We start from the raw sequence: 14,669 nt of genomic DNA, 5'->3' as shown, positions 1-14,669 counted from the left end.
TTTGGGGCTCCATGACAGCCACTTTTTCTCTTTTCACTTTAACTGCCAAAACCTGTCATTTCTGAGACATTTCAAGGAGATAAACAAGGTGAACTGTGCTATGCACATGACTCGATGTAACTGCTGATTTGAGCAAGGTTACTGGTCAGCATATGTAAGGTAACTTGGAGTTTTCTGGTCCATCATGTGATTCATTTGCCTGAATGGAGTGCTATGCAACTAATAAAATTCTTTTGAAAAATCAGCATTGTTTGCCAGTAGTACCAGTTACTCGGGAGGCTGAGGCTGGAGGATCACTTGAGCCCAGAAGTTTGAGTCCAGCTTGGGCAGCATAGCAAGAGCCTGTCTCTAAAAATTTTTTTAATTAAAAATAATCAGGATTATTACTTGTAAAATTCTTTCTAACTGCATCAACACTGCTAGGGCAAGCAGCAACATTGTCATCTTAGTGACATCTTATTATGTGATGCTGTCTTTGGAATCTCCACAATTCTATGTTTTAAATAAGTTTCACTCAAATCTAAGGAAACTATATTACTTATTTAAGGAAATTGAATGCTAGCAGTGAAGTATGATATTTTTCATCATTTGGAATCATTAAAATATTATTTATCTGTTGAAGTGTATTTTAAAATATAGAGCCATAAAGGTTTTAAATTTAGAATTAAAATTAATGATCATTGACTCTATCGGTCTCATTTTACAAATTAGAAGCCGAAGGCTTAGATGGATTAAGTAATGTGTACCTGGTTGCTCAGTAAAACAACAGGGAAAAATACAGTGCCTAATAGGAATTTCCTTCATCGTGGAGTTGCTTCTTAAAAGGAATTAGTTGCTAAAGCCACTTCCTGAAGGTGATTTTTTAGTATAGCCAAAATTACCCCTGAAAACTCCTTAGGAAAGCAATATGACTTAACACCAAATTCAATGGCAGGTTTTTCTTCCAGCTTTAGAACAGACTGCTGTCTCAGACTGAGTGCCAGAGAAGAAGTTAGCTTGTGTTTATGGGCTGTTTTTATAAGAAAACAAACAAATAATAACAACAAAGCCCTTGTCATCAAAAACTAAAATTCCCTGCAGCCTGGCGGGATACTTGGAAGAATTGTATATTTCACGTTCCCTCTTGGGTCACACATGCAGGGTTTGGAATTGTTCCCATGCTGCTTCAATTGTCCCCTTTGGCAGTCTCCTCTCTTGCACCCAGTAGGCTTGTGTGGTTACACTGAAATATGTTAAATGGGCATTTACTGGGCCTCCCACTGAACATGAATCTGATCCTCCAAGATTCAGTAGAATATGATGATTCAGTTTCTTAGATGGAGGCTCATAGAGGTTTAATTTATAATTTTTTGCTAGTTTTTTAATAGCACCATTTAAAATATCTCACCAATACTGTTTTTGTAAAGCTGCCACAGTTTTTTAGGTGATCTTTATGATCAAATACATAGAAATACTTTTTTTTCTGTTATCTCTTATGTTTCCTTTTTAGTGCAGCACACTGTCCTTGGGATTTTAAATCCACAGGGCTGAGTGCTTGCTTATATAAGCCCTAGGCATAGGAGAGAGTGAGATGATCTAACATGATTGTATATAGTACAAACATTTCTTTGCCACAAAATTTAAAACTTATTCATCTTTCTCTAAACTGTAACTGATGTAATTTATTGTTTTCTAAAGGTCAGTGTGACCAATGCAAGTGTCTATAAGCTAAAATATTTCAGCATAATTTCTTTAATATCTCTAGTAAGAAAAGCTATCTCTATTAAGAGAAAGATACGAAGAAATAAAATTCAAATAGAAAATTCTTATTTTTATGAGAAATTACAACTAGAACCCCTCTATCCCTACTATGTAGTAAAACCATGCACTTGGAAATCAACAATAACTCTTAAAAGTCATATTACTAAACCTTTTGTTAATCTTCAACTCCCAACACCCTTTGATACTGTTTTTTGCCCCTTCTTTTTGAGACTTTTTTCTTCATTGGCTGTGACACTGTCCTGGATCTCCCAGTTTTCTGGCCAATCCTTTCATTTTTACAGAAACTTGTTTCTTTCCTTATTCTAAATATTCTTCAGGCTTTGTTGTGGATGTCCTTCCTTTTAAGAGGCCAGTTTAAGCAGAAAGCTTCATCTCCAACCAAAGGTGCCTGGAGCCATCTCTTACTGGCTCCTGGGAGCCCATTCTGCATGTCATGCACGAAAGCTCAGCTCCGCATTCAGCGCGTGCACATTGGTAGCAGGAAGTCAGCTGTGATGAGAGCATTTACACCACAGGAAGCAGCAAACACTACACATCAGGGCTTTCCCACCCTCAGAGAGCCAGTGTCCCAGCATACCCCTATTGAATCCCAACCTCTGTCTAAAGCTCCCAGGATCATTTCTCTCCAAATATGCTACTCACTTTCAAACTCAGTTTGTTCAAAACGAACAGACTGACAAGCAAAACCAGTTCTTGATTCCCCTGTTTTTGTTGGTAGAAATGCCATTTTTTCAATCTCATAGGCTTGGAAACCTTGTACAAGATTTTGACTCCTACTACACTTTTAACATGCACATCCAGTCTCCTACCGAGGAATATAAGTACCCTGCTTCTTTTCAGTGTATGTATATGTTTTTGACAAAGATAACAGGTTCACCAGAACATAGACAGTGGCCCCAGAGAAATCCCCTATGAAATCAACAACTCCTCTCTCACCTGGTAGCCAGGTAAGGGTCATGAGAATGATTCTGGACCACCTTCTTCCCATGTCCTGCTTGGACAGTGAGGCATCTCACTTTGGACTTTGGGTATGGCTGTCACCTTTCACTTCAGGGCCTCAGCAGGGGTACTTCCCTCTACCTTAAGTCAGATGAGAGAGGCATGAAGGGAACTGCTCTAAGAGCTTCATGAGTGCTGTCTGCAGTGGACTGATATCCGACCCACACCTGAAGACTCCCAAGGTGAGAGGCTGTGGCTGGAACTCAGAGTGAGAGGGGCTGTGCTGACAATAACCTGCACGGTTTGAGTTGTTGGGGCAAGAACACATGATTCTTGTGGACCAGGTGTGGGGGATCCGCCCACAACAAAGCTGGTGTTGGGGCACTGTTACTCCTGCTGGAAAGGAGTCCCCAGGGGCTGATGTTACCCAGGGGCCTCAGAGGCCAGATGGAAGACCCTGGCAGAAAGAGGCAGTGTGTGGTCCTGAAGCCTAGTGTCTAGGGCTAGTGACCACCTCAGGGGAATTTGCAAGTGCAAGTCTCCAGAAATGGGTCCTCTCTCTAGGACTCAGGAAGGCCCCTTTGAGGGAAAGAGAGACACTCCACACTCACAGAATGTTCGCACCAGATCATGGCGATACCAGCTCAATCAGCCCTTCCCTGCCTCCTAAGCACATTTTATCTTTGAAGTTAGAAGGGGAGAAGATCCTAACACATACTGAGATTTGTTTGGCTTTATTTTTCAAGTTGGAAATGGAGATGTTACAGGAATGGAGGACAGGTAGGGTTTCAGTCTCAGATTCAGAGGTGAAATTGAGCTGACTCTGGCTGAGTAAAGTGGGATACAAAACAGTGCTGTTGGGGGAAATGTTGCCTTTCTCTGGTCTGTTGCTTCTGAGTCAAGCTAACTGACAGCTGTGCTCAAGTCCCCTGGAGAGAACCACTTTTGAAGAAATATTCACGTGGCGTGAGGCTCTGAACTATTTATGGAAAAGCAAAGCATTTCACTCAAAAGCAGCAAAGAAGAGAAAATCAGGGGACTGTCTTCTCAGTGCTTTTTGATGACTGTGTTGGTGGGGTACAGCTGAGTGCAGAGGTGAGCTGCAGAGTAGTGATCACCAGCAACACACAACGAAGGCAGAACCTGCCTCAGTCCTTGAGGCTTGAAGCACGGGGTGATGGAAATGAGGTCATCTGTCACTAAGAACAGCTTCCGCGTTCCTATAGAGACCAGCACCAGCCAACAGGCTAAGAGAAGTGCAGGCTGGTGTGGGTGGGCAGTGTAACTGTAGGAAACCTCAGAGAATACAGGGAGAGCTCCAGATTAGAGAGTGGAAAAGAGCAGAAGTAAGGGTTCAAGTTTTTCATCTGCTGTCCATTTTATCCATGATAATATTTTTATAGTGCTTTTATATTGAGAGAGCTCTTCTAATAATATTATCTCATATAATTTTTTTTGAGACAGGGTCGGCTGGGCATAGTGGCTTACACCTGTAATCCCAGCACTTTGGGAGGCCAAGGCGGGTGTATCAGCTGAGGTCAGGAGTTTGAGACCAGCCTGGCCAACATTTGAAACCCTGTCTGTACTAGAAATACAAAAATTAGCCGGGCATGGTGGTGCGTGCCTGTAATCCCAGCTACTTGGGAGGCTGAGGCGGGAGAATTGCTTGAACCTGGGAGGCGGAGGTTGCAGTGAACCAAGATTGAACCACAGCACTCCAGCCTGAGCAATGGAGTGAGACTCAATCTCAAAAAAAAAAAGACAGGGTCTTGCTCTGTCACCCAGGCTGGAGTGCAGTGGCACAATCATAGCTCACTGTTACCTCACGCTCCTGTGCTCAAGCGATCCTCCCACGCCAGCTTCCTGAGTGGCTGGGACTGCAGGCAGTACACCACCATGCCTGGCTAATTTTTTAATTTTTTTGTAGTGACAGGGTCTCTCTATGTTGCCCAGGCTAGTCTTGGACTCCTGGCCTCAAGTGATCCTCCAGCCTGGGCCTCCCAAACTGCTGAGAGTACAGGAGAGAGCTATCATGCCCAGCTCTATTTCATGTTATTTCATATTTCATATAATTCTTAGGGCAGCTCTCCACCTGATTAACTGTGCCACCTGATGGTGGGAACCAGAGGAGGAAGTTAACAGGTTAAGTTGCTTACCCATGACAGATGATGGTGACAGAATTTGGACCAAAGTTGTCTAATAATTTCCTAATTCAGAGGGCTCCTTCCAGCCTTTAGGGCTATGTTGAACTGGGGTAAAAGGATTTCATATGATTCATGGGCAGTATTTTAAAATTTAATTGTAATGTGTTTAGTTTTAAATTTACTTTCTATTTTTGGCAGGGATACTGGTTTTCCATTAATGGACTGAGGTAAACTCACTTAAGTAAAAAGAGCAAAGATGAAAAAGCATCAAGTAAATAGTAGCATCAAGATGTGGCAGTAATTGTGAAGGGGACTGTGAACATGAAATTTCAAAGCCACTGCTCTAAAGGCTTCCTGGCCAAAACAAAGAGTTTATCATTTGATTACATTCCCTAAAGGGTGTTCTGAATGTGTCCTGTGACTAAATCCTGACCTCAAAATGGGATGATAAACTCTTTGTGAATAAGGACTGTGCCTTCTATAATCCAGATGCTGTGTCCTGGCACCCCCCAAATTCATATGTTGAAGTCGTAACCCCAGTACCTCAGAATGTGGTCTTATTTGGAGACAGCGTCTTTACAGAGGTAAGCAAGTTAAATGATGTCATTAGGGTGGGCCTTAATTCAATATGACTGTTGCCCTATGGAAAGGGGAAGCAGCATGTGACATGAAGACGGTCACCTGCACACCAAGGAAAGAGGCTTAGAACAGATTTTCCTACACTGGTCGCAAAAGAAAACAACCTGGTCAACATCTTGATTTTGGACTTCTAGCCTCCAGAACTTTAACATTCTGTTGTTTAAGCTAACCAGTTTGTGGTAATTTATCACGGCAGCCCTAGCAAACTAATACAATAGGTTTGTGCATAAATACTGGGAACATAAATAATGAACCTTAAACTGAATAACAAGATCTTCCCGTGTAATTTTTATTCATTTATTTATTTATTTTTATTTTTTAAGACAGAGTCTTGCTCTGTCACCCAGGCTGCAGTGCACTGGTGCAATTTTGGCTCACTGCAACCTCTGCCTCCTGGGCTCAACTGATTCTCCTGCTTCAGCCTCCCAAGTAGCTGGGACTACAGGTGTGCGCCACTACACCAGCTAGTTTTTGTAGTTTTTGTAGAGATGGGGTTTCCCCATGTTGGCCAGGCTGGTCTGAAACTCTTGACCTCAAGTTATCTGCCCACCTCGGCCTCCCAAAGTGCTAGGATTACAGGCGTGAGCCACCGCATCCAGGCTTCCCATGTAATTTTGATCCAAGTCACTCCAAGTTTCTAATTAAAAATGCCTCCTCTTGAGCTTTAAGGCCTTGTTGGCCAGCTCTTCTCTCTCTTTGCATTTCAACAATGCTTCCCACTGCCCCAGTACTGCTATCTCCTGAGCTTGGGCATTTCCTGGTGTGTCTCCTTTTACAGAAGTACAGTGCCCTAGATGTCTGGACTTTGCCACTTGATTCATGTGGAGAGCCATCCTCCTTTGCACAAGACCTTTGTATTGAAACAGGATTGCTTTTTTTAAACCTTAAATGCCTTGCGAGTTTTTTGTTTGTTTGTTTAATTCCTCTGAGCAGAAAATAATTGTTACCTTTAGAAGTGATAGCACCCACTAAAAAGGAAGAGCACTGCACCCTGGAACCTGGCCCTTAATTAAAAGATGCTGCTAGTCCAGGCATGGTGGCTCATGCCTGTAATCCCAACACTTTGGGAGATGGAGGTGGGAGGATTGCTTTAGGCCAGGAGTTCGAAACCAGCCTGTGCAAAATAGGGAGACCTTGTCTGTACAAAACTAAAAATAAAAAAAATTAGCCATATATGGTAGTGTGTACCTGTAGTCCCAGCTACTCAGGAAACTGAGGCAGGAGGATCACTTGAGCCTGAGAGGTCAAGGCTGTAATGAACTATGGTCACACCATTGCACTTCAGCCTCAGCAACAGAGTGAGACCCTGCCTCAAAACAAAACAAAACAAAAAGCTCCTGTCTCTAGCTGAGCCATTGCATTGCCTGGAATGGCATTATGATCTCAGAATCTGCATGTATCTTCTCGGTGGGCTGTTGTTATCACTGCTGTCTGTATGCTATGTTGTTACGTTTGTGGATGTGCTAGCCTTCTACTGTGCTCTGTGGACTTCTTGACTTTACAGACTGACCATGTCTGAATCATATTTGGATCAAGTTCAATAAAAATGTGTTGAATAATGAACATTTTAAAAGGAGAACTGAAGTTCAGTGTCCTGTTGGCTGTATTTCTGTTTGATATACAATTGAATTTTGTGACATGGTTCACTGGAAGTATCCCTTTAGTCTTTAGATTTAAAATCTTGTTGATTTGGGGAAAGCTGTTAGTCCTGGACTGAATTTCCAAGACTTCATGGATCCTATATTCCTAGGGAGCTTTAAGAATTGTTTTCAATGGCTTAAGTACTGATCTGATCGGACATAACAGACTGACCTAAAAAACTCCCCCCTTTTTGTTTTAGTCTCTAAAGATTTATTTTTATGAATTAGATTAGATACATATGATCATTTTCTAGAATTCATTCTAAGTTTAAACTGCTTTGTCTATTTTTAAGTTCTGCTCTCTCTGACTGAATTTTTAGAAATCTGGCTCCAACACACTTACAAATAGATCCTGCTAGATATTGTTCTTGTCATCACTTTTAGGATTATGTCAAAATGTACCATTGCTATTTACTTGATCCCAAAATATGTTACATGCATTTTTCTTTCAAAGCGCATGACCATGGAACAAAGATCATATTTACAAATCTTTGCATCCCTAAGTGAGAACACTTGGCAGAGCAGAAGCAACATTTCCATTTTTTTTCAGGATGAAACCTTGCACAATAACACTGCCATCCTACATGATAGGATAAATCTGTGCTGGCTTGTCATGAGCACTTATTTTGAGGAGTCCTCTGTTGCTCTGGGAGAAACATTTAACTAAATGTTATTCATTGCCCATATACCAATCTCAGGTCAATGAACCCCCAAACTCTACCAAACCAGGGAATTGACTTTAGCAAATCTTTTTATGATTCTTGTGCCAGGTTTTGTGGGTAATACGCAGTCTCTCCCTTCAAGGGATTTACTGTATAAGGGATTCAGGATGGTGGCTCAGGATCAAGACTGGAACTCTGGTGTTAGGATATGTGCTTTTTAAAAATCTTCTGGTAGCATGGCACTTTTCATTCCTGCCCTCATACCTAGAGGGCTTCTTATGGAACCTCACAACTGCAACAAGATAGAAGTAGCATGCACTTGACAAATAATGGCCAGAAATGCTCTGAGAGCCTCTAGCCTAAGTCTAAATGTAACGCTTGAGTCAGCTGGAGGCTGTCTGAAACTTTCTTTCATGCAACTAAAAAATTAAGAGTCCTGAGAACTTTAGAACTATGACTAAGTTTGAGTGTGGTGCGTTGGCCAAATGCATCAGACTGAAACAGCACTAGACTGTGGTCTAGCAGAAGATGGGAAGATTGATCCATGTCTTGCTGCTGCCCAGCTTTTGGTTCCTGGAGAATTTCCTGTAAGATCTCGGGAGTCAGGGTAGGTATGACCTGGACAGAGAATCATAAAATCCCAAGTTTTAGATCCTAAAGAGATATTTGAGTTCATTTGTTTAACTTCTCTTAACATTTTAGTCAACAGCACAGAGATTTAGAAACTTGCTCCAGTTTTCATGGTCAGTTAATGGGAATATTAGAACTAGAACCCAGGTTTCTTGATTTATGAATCTTCTCTTTGTTCTCTGTTGGTGTTGCATTATCTGTTTTTCCCAGAGCCCAGAGCCTTTCTAGCCAAGTGCCATGGTCAGTAGTGTGTTGACAAACTGGATTTCTCTTTCAAACAAAAACAAAAAACCCTGGTCTGTAGTATTTTTAGATTTCCATGGTATAAATACTTCTACCATGGCCAATTTCAAGCTACCAACATCTAACAACCAGCTTGCAAGTTTCCTGAAAAAGTTAACAATAGACTCCCGCACACCATTGATTGTATTCTCCTGTATGCTTGTTCTTTTTGGCATTGTTGGTAGCATATCAGTGACCAACCTTTTGTGAGATAGGTGGGCCCCTTATGGCGATGGGAGATAAATTAATGGAATTAAGAGAAGGACTTGTTTCATTGATTAGCTTACTTCAAACGAGTCCAGCATTCCTCAGATCCTAATCTCTCCATAACACTCAGTAGTCCTCTTGACTTAACATGTGATAAAAAATAATGGAAGCTAAAGGGAGATATTTCCTTTGTTTCTAAAGCATTTTGAAACTTTTGTGTTGTGGGACTTAGGATTTGCTGTTCATAAAGTTTCTACTTCTACTTTGTATCTTGAAAGAAAGTTCAATGGAGGGGTGTAGAATTTCTAGAATTTCCCATTTATCTAGTCATTTGTTCATTCATTCATTTATGTTTGACTATTACCACTGTACCCTAACCTAATTATGGCAATCCTCTAGCTATTTTGAGTTCAGAGACTGAGGGGGATAAGATACTGGATACAGTGTCATAAAAATCATGACCACTTAGAGAGTAACAGATTTTAGAGCTGGGAACGACCCTACAGATGATCATCACCCCTATGCTGTAGATAAGGAAGCTGAGAGACTGACAGAAATCTGCATAGAATCACGCAGTTGTTTGGAGTCTTCACTGGGTTCATAACTTGTGATTCTTGATACCTCATTCAATGTTTTTCCATTATACCATTATAACTCATTTTTCTCCCACATTCAGAGCATGAAAAAAATATATAGCATATGTCTCTAGCCTGTGACTTCAGATTGAATAAATCTTAGATTTTCAGCACAGCCTTTTGATCATATCAGGAAGGGGGAAGTGAATTGGAGTACTGATTTAGAGGACTGCCTACTGCTCTTCTAACCTCCTGCATCTTGTGGCACATACATTGTCAGTGAAAGACTCAGAAGGTGCTGGATGGTGTGAAACTTAGGGCTTTTCAGAAGAATCATTAAGGGTTTTATATATTCAGAGTGAAGTCTTTAGTATTGAGATAGAATAACCAATCTGTTTTGCATGGAGAAGAAGACTTGGCTCTGATATGAGTATTCAGTTAAATTCAACAAGCATTTTAACACCTACAAGGTACCACGCACTGTGCTAAGCACTAGGAATACACAGATGAATAAAACATCAACTTTATTTTATAGGAACACATAGCCTGTGGGAAAAGAGACATGAACAAGTAACTTCAGTATAGTCTTCTAAGTGCAGCACACACACAGTTCAATACATTGTTTTCATTTGTTAATTTAGACTTAGTGGGAAGAGCACTGAGCAAGGAGTCTAGCCATTTAGGTTTTAGTCCCAGCACTGCCACTGCCTGACAGTGTGACCTGGTATAGATCATTTAGCACCTTCCTCTCTGTGTTGGGGAAAGGAAGGATCATGAAGACCTTCTAAAAGGTAATTGGGAAAATTAAACAAATGTTTGTGAAAGTGTTTTGAGCCAGGTGTGCTGGCTCATGCCTGTAATCCCAGCCCGTTGGGAGGCTGAGGTGGGCAGATCGTGTAAGTTCAGGAGTTTGAGACCAGCCTAGGCAACATGGTGAAACCCTGTCTTTCACCCTTCCATGGTGGAAGTATTTATACCATGGAATAAAGAAAATTAGCTGAGTGTAGTAACATGCACTTCTAGTCCCAGCTACTTGGGAGGCTGAGGTGGGAGGATCACCTGAGTCCAGGAGGTAGAGGTTGCAGTGAGCCAGGAGAGACCCTGTCTTAAAAAAAAAAAAAAAAGTTTTGAAAGTATTATCTGCCACATAAACCTAAGTATATTATTTTTATTTTGCAAATAGGTAACTTTTTTATACCAGAAAGCTCGTATTCTTTGACTAAGCTCTACTGAGAAAGCACTTATTATCAAATATTTATTGAGCATCCACTTGGCGCTAGACATACTTCTAGATCCTGGGATATGGCAATAAATACAACAGAGCGTCTCCCAACTTGTGGAGCTTACATTCTAAAGAGAAAAGATGGAAAATAAATACACAAGAAAAATGTCAGATAGTATTTCAAGTAAGTACAATGCAGATAATAAAAACAGTGTAATGCAACAGGAATGATTGGGCAGACTTTAGATTGGGAGTCAGGAAAGACCTTTCTGCAAGGTGATGTTTAGGCTGAGTGACAAGAAGGAACAAGCATTGCCAACATCAGAGGTAGGAGCATTCTAGGCAGAGAATGGTTCCTAAGGCCCTAAGCAGGAACGAGCTTGGCAGGTGTCAGGAACAGAGAGAGGGCCAGAGTGGCTGGAGCATGGCGGGCCAGGTGGAAATGGGACACAGTGGGTTCAGAGAAGAAGGTTGGGGTCAGATCACAGAGAACTTTGTCAACCAACATAAGGAGTTTGGGTTTTATTCCAAGTACAGTGGAGACCAGGATTTTAAGCAGGAGATTAATAAGGTTTGACTTTTAGAAGATGACTCTGGCTTTTGGAGGAGAATGGATTATAGGTCAGTCTTGTAGCAGTGCAGATGAGAGGGAATATGGGCTTATACTGGGCTAATAATAGAAAAGTTGATAAAAGTAGAATATGTGTAGGGTATCACTGAAGATGGTATAAAGAGAAACTCCTCATGGCTTAGATTGGTGTGGGAAACAGAAGTATCAGGTGTGGTTCCTTGATTGTTGGCCAGAGTAGGACAATTTACTGAAGGAAAAGTAATTATGGGGAATGAGGAGGAAAAGGAGAGTCAGGAATTGTTTTGACCCTGTGAAATTTGACTTGCCTATCAGTCATCTTGGTGAATATGTCAAGAAGGAAGAAGCTGGGTCTGCAAATCTCTAGTGTAGGAATCACTGGCACATAGATGGAGCTGGAGGAGGTTACCCTGAAGGACAGTGTACACAGAGAAAGGAAGGGGTTCTAGCTTGGAGGCTGAGCCCAGAGAGGAGGCACAGAAGGCTGAAAAAGAATAGTCAGTGAGGAAAACCATGAGAATGAGGTGTCCTGGAAGCTACTAGAAGAAAGTAGGGGATAATCAAGTAGGAGGGAGGTCAAGCAGTGTAAGAACAGAGAAGCGACCACTGGGCTTGGCAATGTGTCAAGGGAAGCTGTCGGCTGGTGTCTTGACAGGATTGGTGGGGGTAGAAGTTGAAATGAAATGAGTTGAGAAAGAGATGTGAGGTGAGGAAGTGGGTATTTCAGCTGTAGAGAATTCCCTTAAGAAGTTTGCTGTGAAGGGGGACAAAGCAATGGGGAATGCCTACTGGAGAATTCAGAACAAAGTAAAGATATCTGGTATGTTTGCACATTAATGAATATGATCTAGTAGACATTGTCCACATGACATTGATGTGCACAAGGAGGGATAATTATTGGAGATAAATCCTTGGGAAGGTGTGAGCAGATGGGATTTAGAGCATAAGATGGGGGGTTGGACTTCAACAGGAGCAGAGACATTTCATCCAGAAGAGCAAAAGGGAACACAGAGAAGTATGGCAGATGAGTGGTAGATGTGGCATTGAAAAGGTGAATCTGTTTGCTTCTGTTCTTTATGCATTTGAAAGTGGTGGGGAGCTAGAGGAGAGAGGTAGACATGTGATATCGTCACCTGGAGAAGTGAGGAAACACGTATGTAGAGCACTGTGGCAAAGTTGCCTGGCAGTATTGAGTCCCCTGCAAGATTTGTGGTCCTGAGTCTAAAGTAAGACTCATGAGCATGCTTGTGTTTGGTTTTGTTTTATTCTTCTACCAGCTGGACTGCAGGTGTGGTTTAAGTAGTAGCTAGTTTAATCACTGTTGGGTTTTTCCAGGGGAGTACAGTGGAAGGGGAGACGGAAGATGGAGTTAGAAATATTACCAACAGGAGGGGCCGGGCGCGATGGCTCACACCTGTAATCCCAGCACTTTGGGAGGCCGAGGCGGGCGGATCACGAGGTCAGGAGATTGAGACCATCCTGGCTAACATGGTGAAACCCCATCTCTACTAAAAATACAAAAAAAAAAAAATTTGCCGGGAGTGGTGGCGGACACCTGTAGTCCCAGCTACTTGGGAGGCTGAGGCAGGAGAATGGCGTGAACCTGGGAGGCAGAGCTTGCAGCGAGCCGAGATTGCACCACTGCACTCCAGGCTGGGTGACAGAGCGAGACTATGTCTCAAAAAAAAAAAAAAAAAAAAAAAGAGAAGAAAAAAGAAAAAAAAAGAAATATTACCAACAGGATGATTATAAGAATGGATCAGGGAATCTGGCAGGATAAGGAGGAAATTGATAACTGGGGGTGATTAATGGAGAAAAAGTGGATTGGAGAGCTTGAGATGGAAGGGTTTCTGTAGTGGGAGCACTGGAACTGGTGACCTGGAAGATCAGGAAATGTTTGAATGCAGAAATGTGCCAAAAGACAGGAAACATTTTCCAAGATGATAAAAATCTCAGTAGTGAAAATCTCTTTGGGGTTTAATGTATTTTGAGGCTTTCACCACAATTAAAAAGTGACACTAATTCTGAAGTTACAGATCTTTGACTAGGGGAGGCAGTAGAAGACCCTCTGAACCTTCCTGGCTGGTCAGGACAAGCTTACTGGGTTTTGGGAAATAAAAACATCATTTTCTTCTCCTAGAAGGTCTAGGAAGAGACTTTGAAGAATCTCTTTATTACAGAATCCTAGCAGACATGACAGAGAGAGGCATGACTAATGCTTAGGCAAGTAAGTATATATTCATGGGGCAAATCATAGGGAGAATTATGCTTTTTAACTATTAAAGTTCATGTAATGGGACTTACGCCCAGTCTCCAACTCAAGTGCCATGTTTCTCCTCAATTATTACAAAAATCAAGAGTATCCTATGTGGATACTACAAGTTGCTAAGCTCTTTATTGTATGGATTCAAACAGAAGACTTTTTTCTGGCACTCAATTGCATTTAGTAAAAATGTAGTATAACATGGTTAGCCAACCATAGCCATTGCATGGTTCCATTATATATTACTAGAGTGTTTTTCTCAGATGAATGTGAGGCCTAAAACACTCACAGTGACATAATTTCACAAGAAATTCTGGGTTCTATAGAGAAGGTTGGCAGTGTGATGCTGAAATATGTAACAGGCCTGAAATACAACCTGAAGGAATACTTGAAGAAGTGTCTGGCTTTCTGCTACATATCTTAAGCAGGAAGACAGACATGTTCTTTTTTGTTATTATTATTTCCTTCAAAAGATCTGAGGATCTGTTACATGAGGTCATTCTTCTTCCCTGTGTACTTCCTTAGGCTGACTGGTCTTATAGCCACGATTATCTTCCCTGCAGAGAATGAATTTTCCAGAATGTTTTGGTTCATTTCCTTGAGAGCTTTTAAGCTTTAGAATTTTTTCACAGACTAGGTTAGCTGTAAAACTTTAGGAAAGTGACTCAGTCTTCTTAAATAAATAATGTAAGCCACTGAGTACTTTGTAATCAAGTCACATTTTGCAGAAATGAGCTGCATAGTATAAATGTCTTTTTAAAAGTACATTAAAAATTATGGGCATCTTGAAGGTTTGTGTTTACTGTATCTCTCATATGAGGAGATGCATTTTTAATGACAGATCCTACCTTTCCCTGGAAGTCTTTTTAATAGTCTCTATGGATACCCTATGTGGAAAGCAGAAACACTTAAGCATCTGTTGCTTTATTACTGTGATCATGTTCCTGAACATGTATCTGTTAAATACTTTCTTGTACATTACGTCAGCTGTCAAATGCAGTATCAAAATACAGCATTTAGTTGAGTGACATTTTAGTAGCCTGTGGCTATTTAGTACTTATTTGCTCTTTCTATGCCTATGTCTGTGTCCTACCCAGCACAGTTAAAATTGGTCAT

The 14,669-nt window shown here is 41.3% G+C and overlaps 1 protein-coding gene across 10 annotated transcripts in view, besides 3 other annotated features; it reads left to right on the top strand.

Moving 5' to 3' along the window:
• Positions 1–14,669, top strand: part of HECW2 (HECT, C2 and WW domain containing E3 ubiquitin protein ligase 2) — a 399,483-nt gene that overhangs the window by 175,742 nt on the left and 209,072 nt on the right. The window lies entirely within an intron of this gene.
• Positions 3,684–3,733: an enhancer, noted in NCBI's record as "active region_16906". NCBI's record gives its function as "activates an Ori minimal core promoter by ATAC-STARR-seq in GM12878 lymphoblastoid cells {active_cell/tissue: GM12878}" and the evidence as "EXISTENCE:reporter gene assay evidence [ECO:0000049][PMID:35858748]".
• Positions 9,260–9,309: an enhancer, noted in NCBI's record as "active region_16905". NCBI's record gives its function as "activates an Ori minimal core promoter by ATAC-STARR-seq in GM12878 lymphoblastoid cells {active_cell/tissue: GM12878}" and the evidence as "EXISTENCE:reporter gene assay evidence [ECO:0000049][PMID:35858748]".
• Positions 12,639–12,829: a silencer, noted in NCBI's record as "fragment chr2:197269708-197269898 (GRCh37/hg19 assembly coordinates)". NCBI's record gives its function as "represses an EF-1alpha promoter that drives an FKBP-Casp9 reporter gene in an ReSE screen in K562 erythroleukemia cells {active_cell/tissue: K562}" and the evidence as "EXISTENCE:reporter gene assay evidence [ECO:0000049][PMID:32094911]".

The sequence above is a fragment of the Homo sapiens genome, chromosome 2, assembly GCF_000001405.40.
Source record: "Homo sapiens chromosome 2, GRCh38.p14 Primary Assembly".
In the NCBI taxonomy this organism is placed as follows: domain Eukaryota; kingdom Metazoa; phylum Chordata; class Mammalia; order Primates; family Hominidae; genus Homo; species Homo sapiens.
This window is presented reverse-complemented; position numbering and strand designations above follow the sequence as displayed.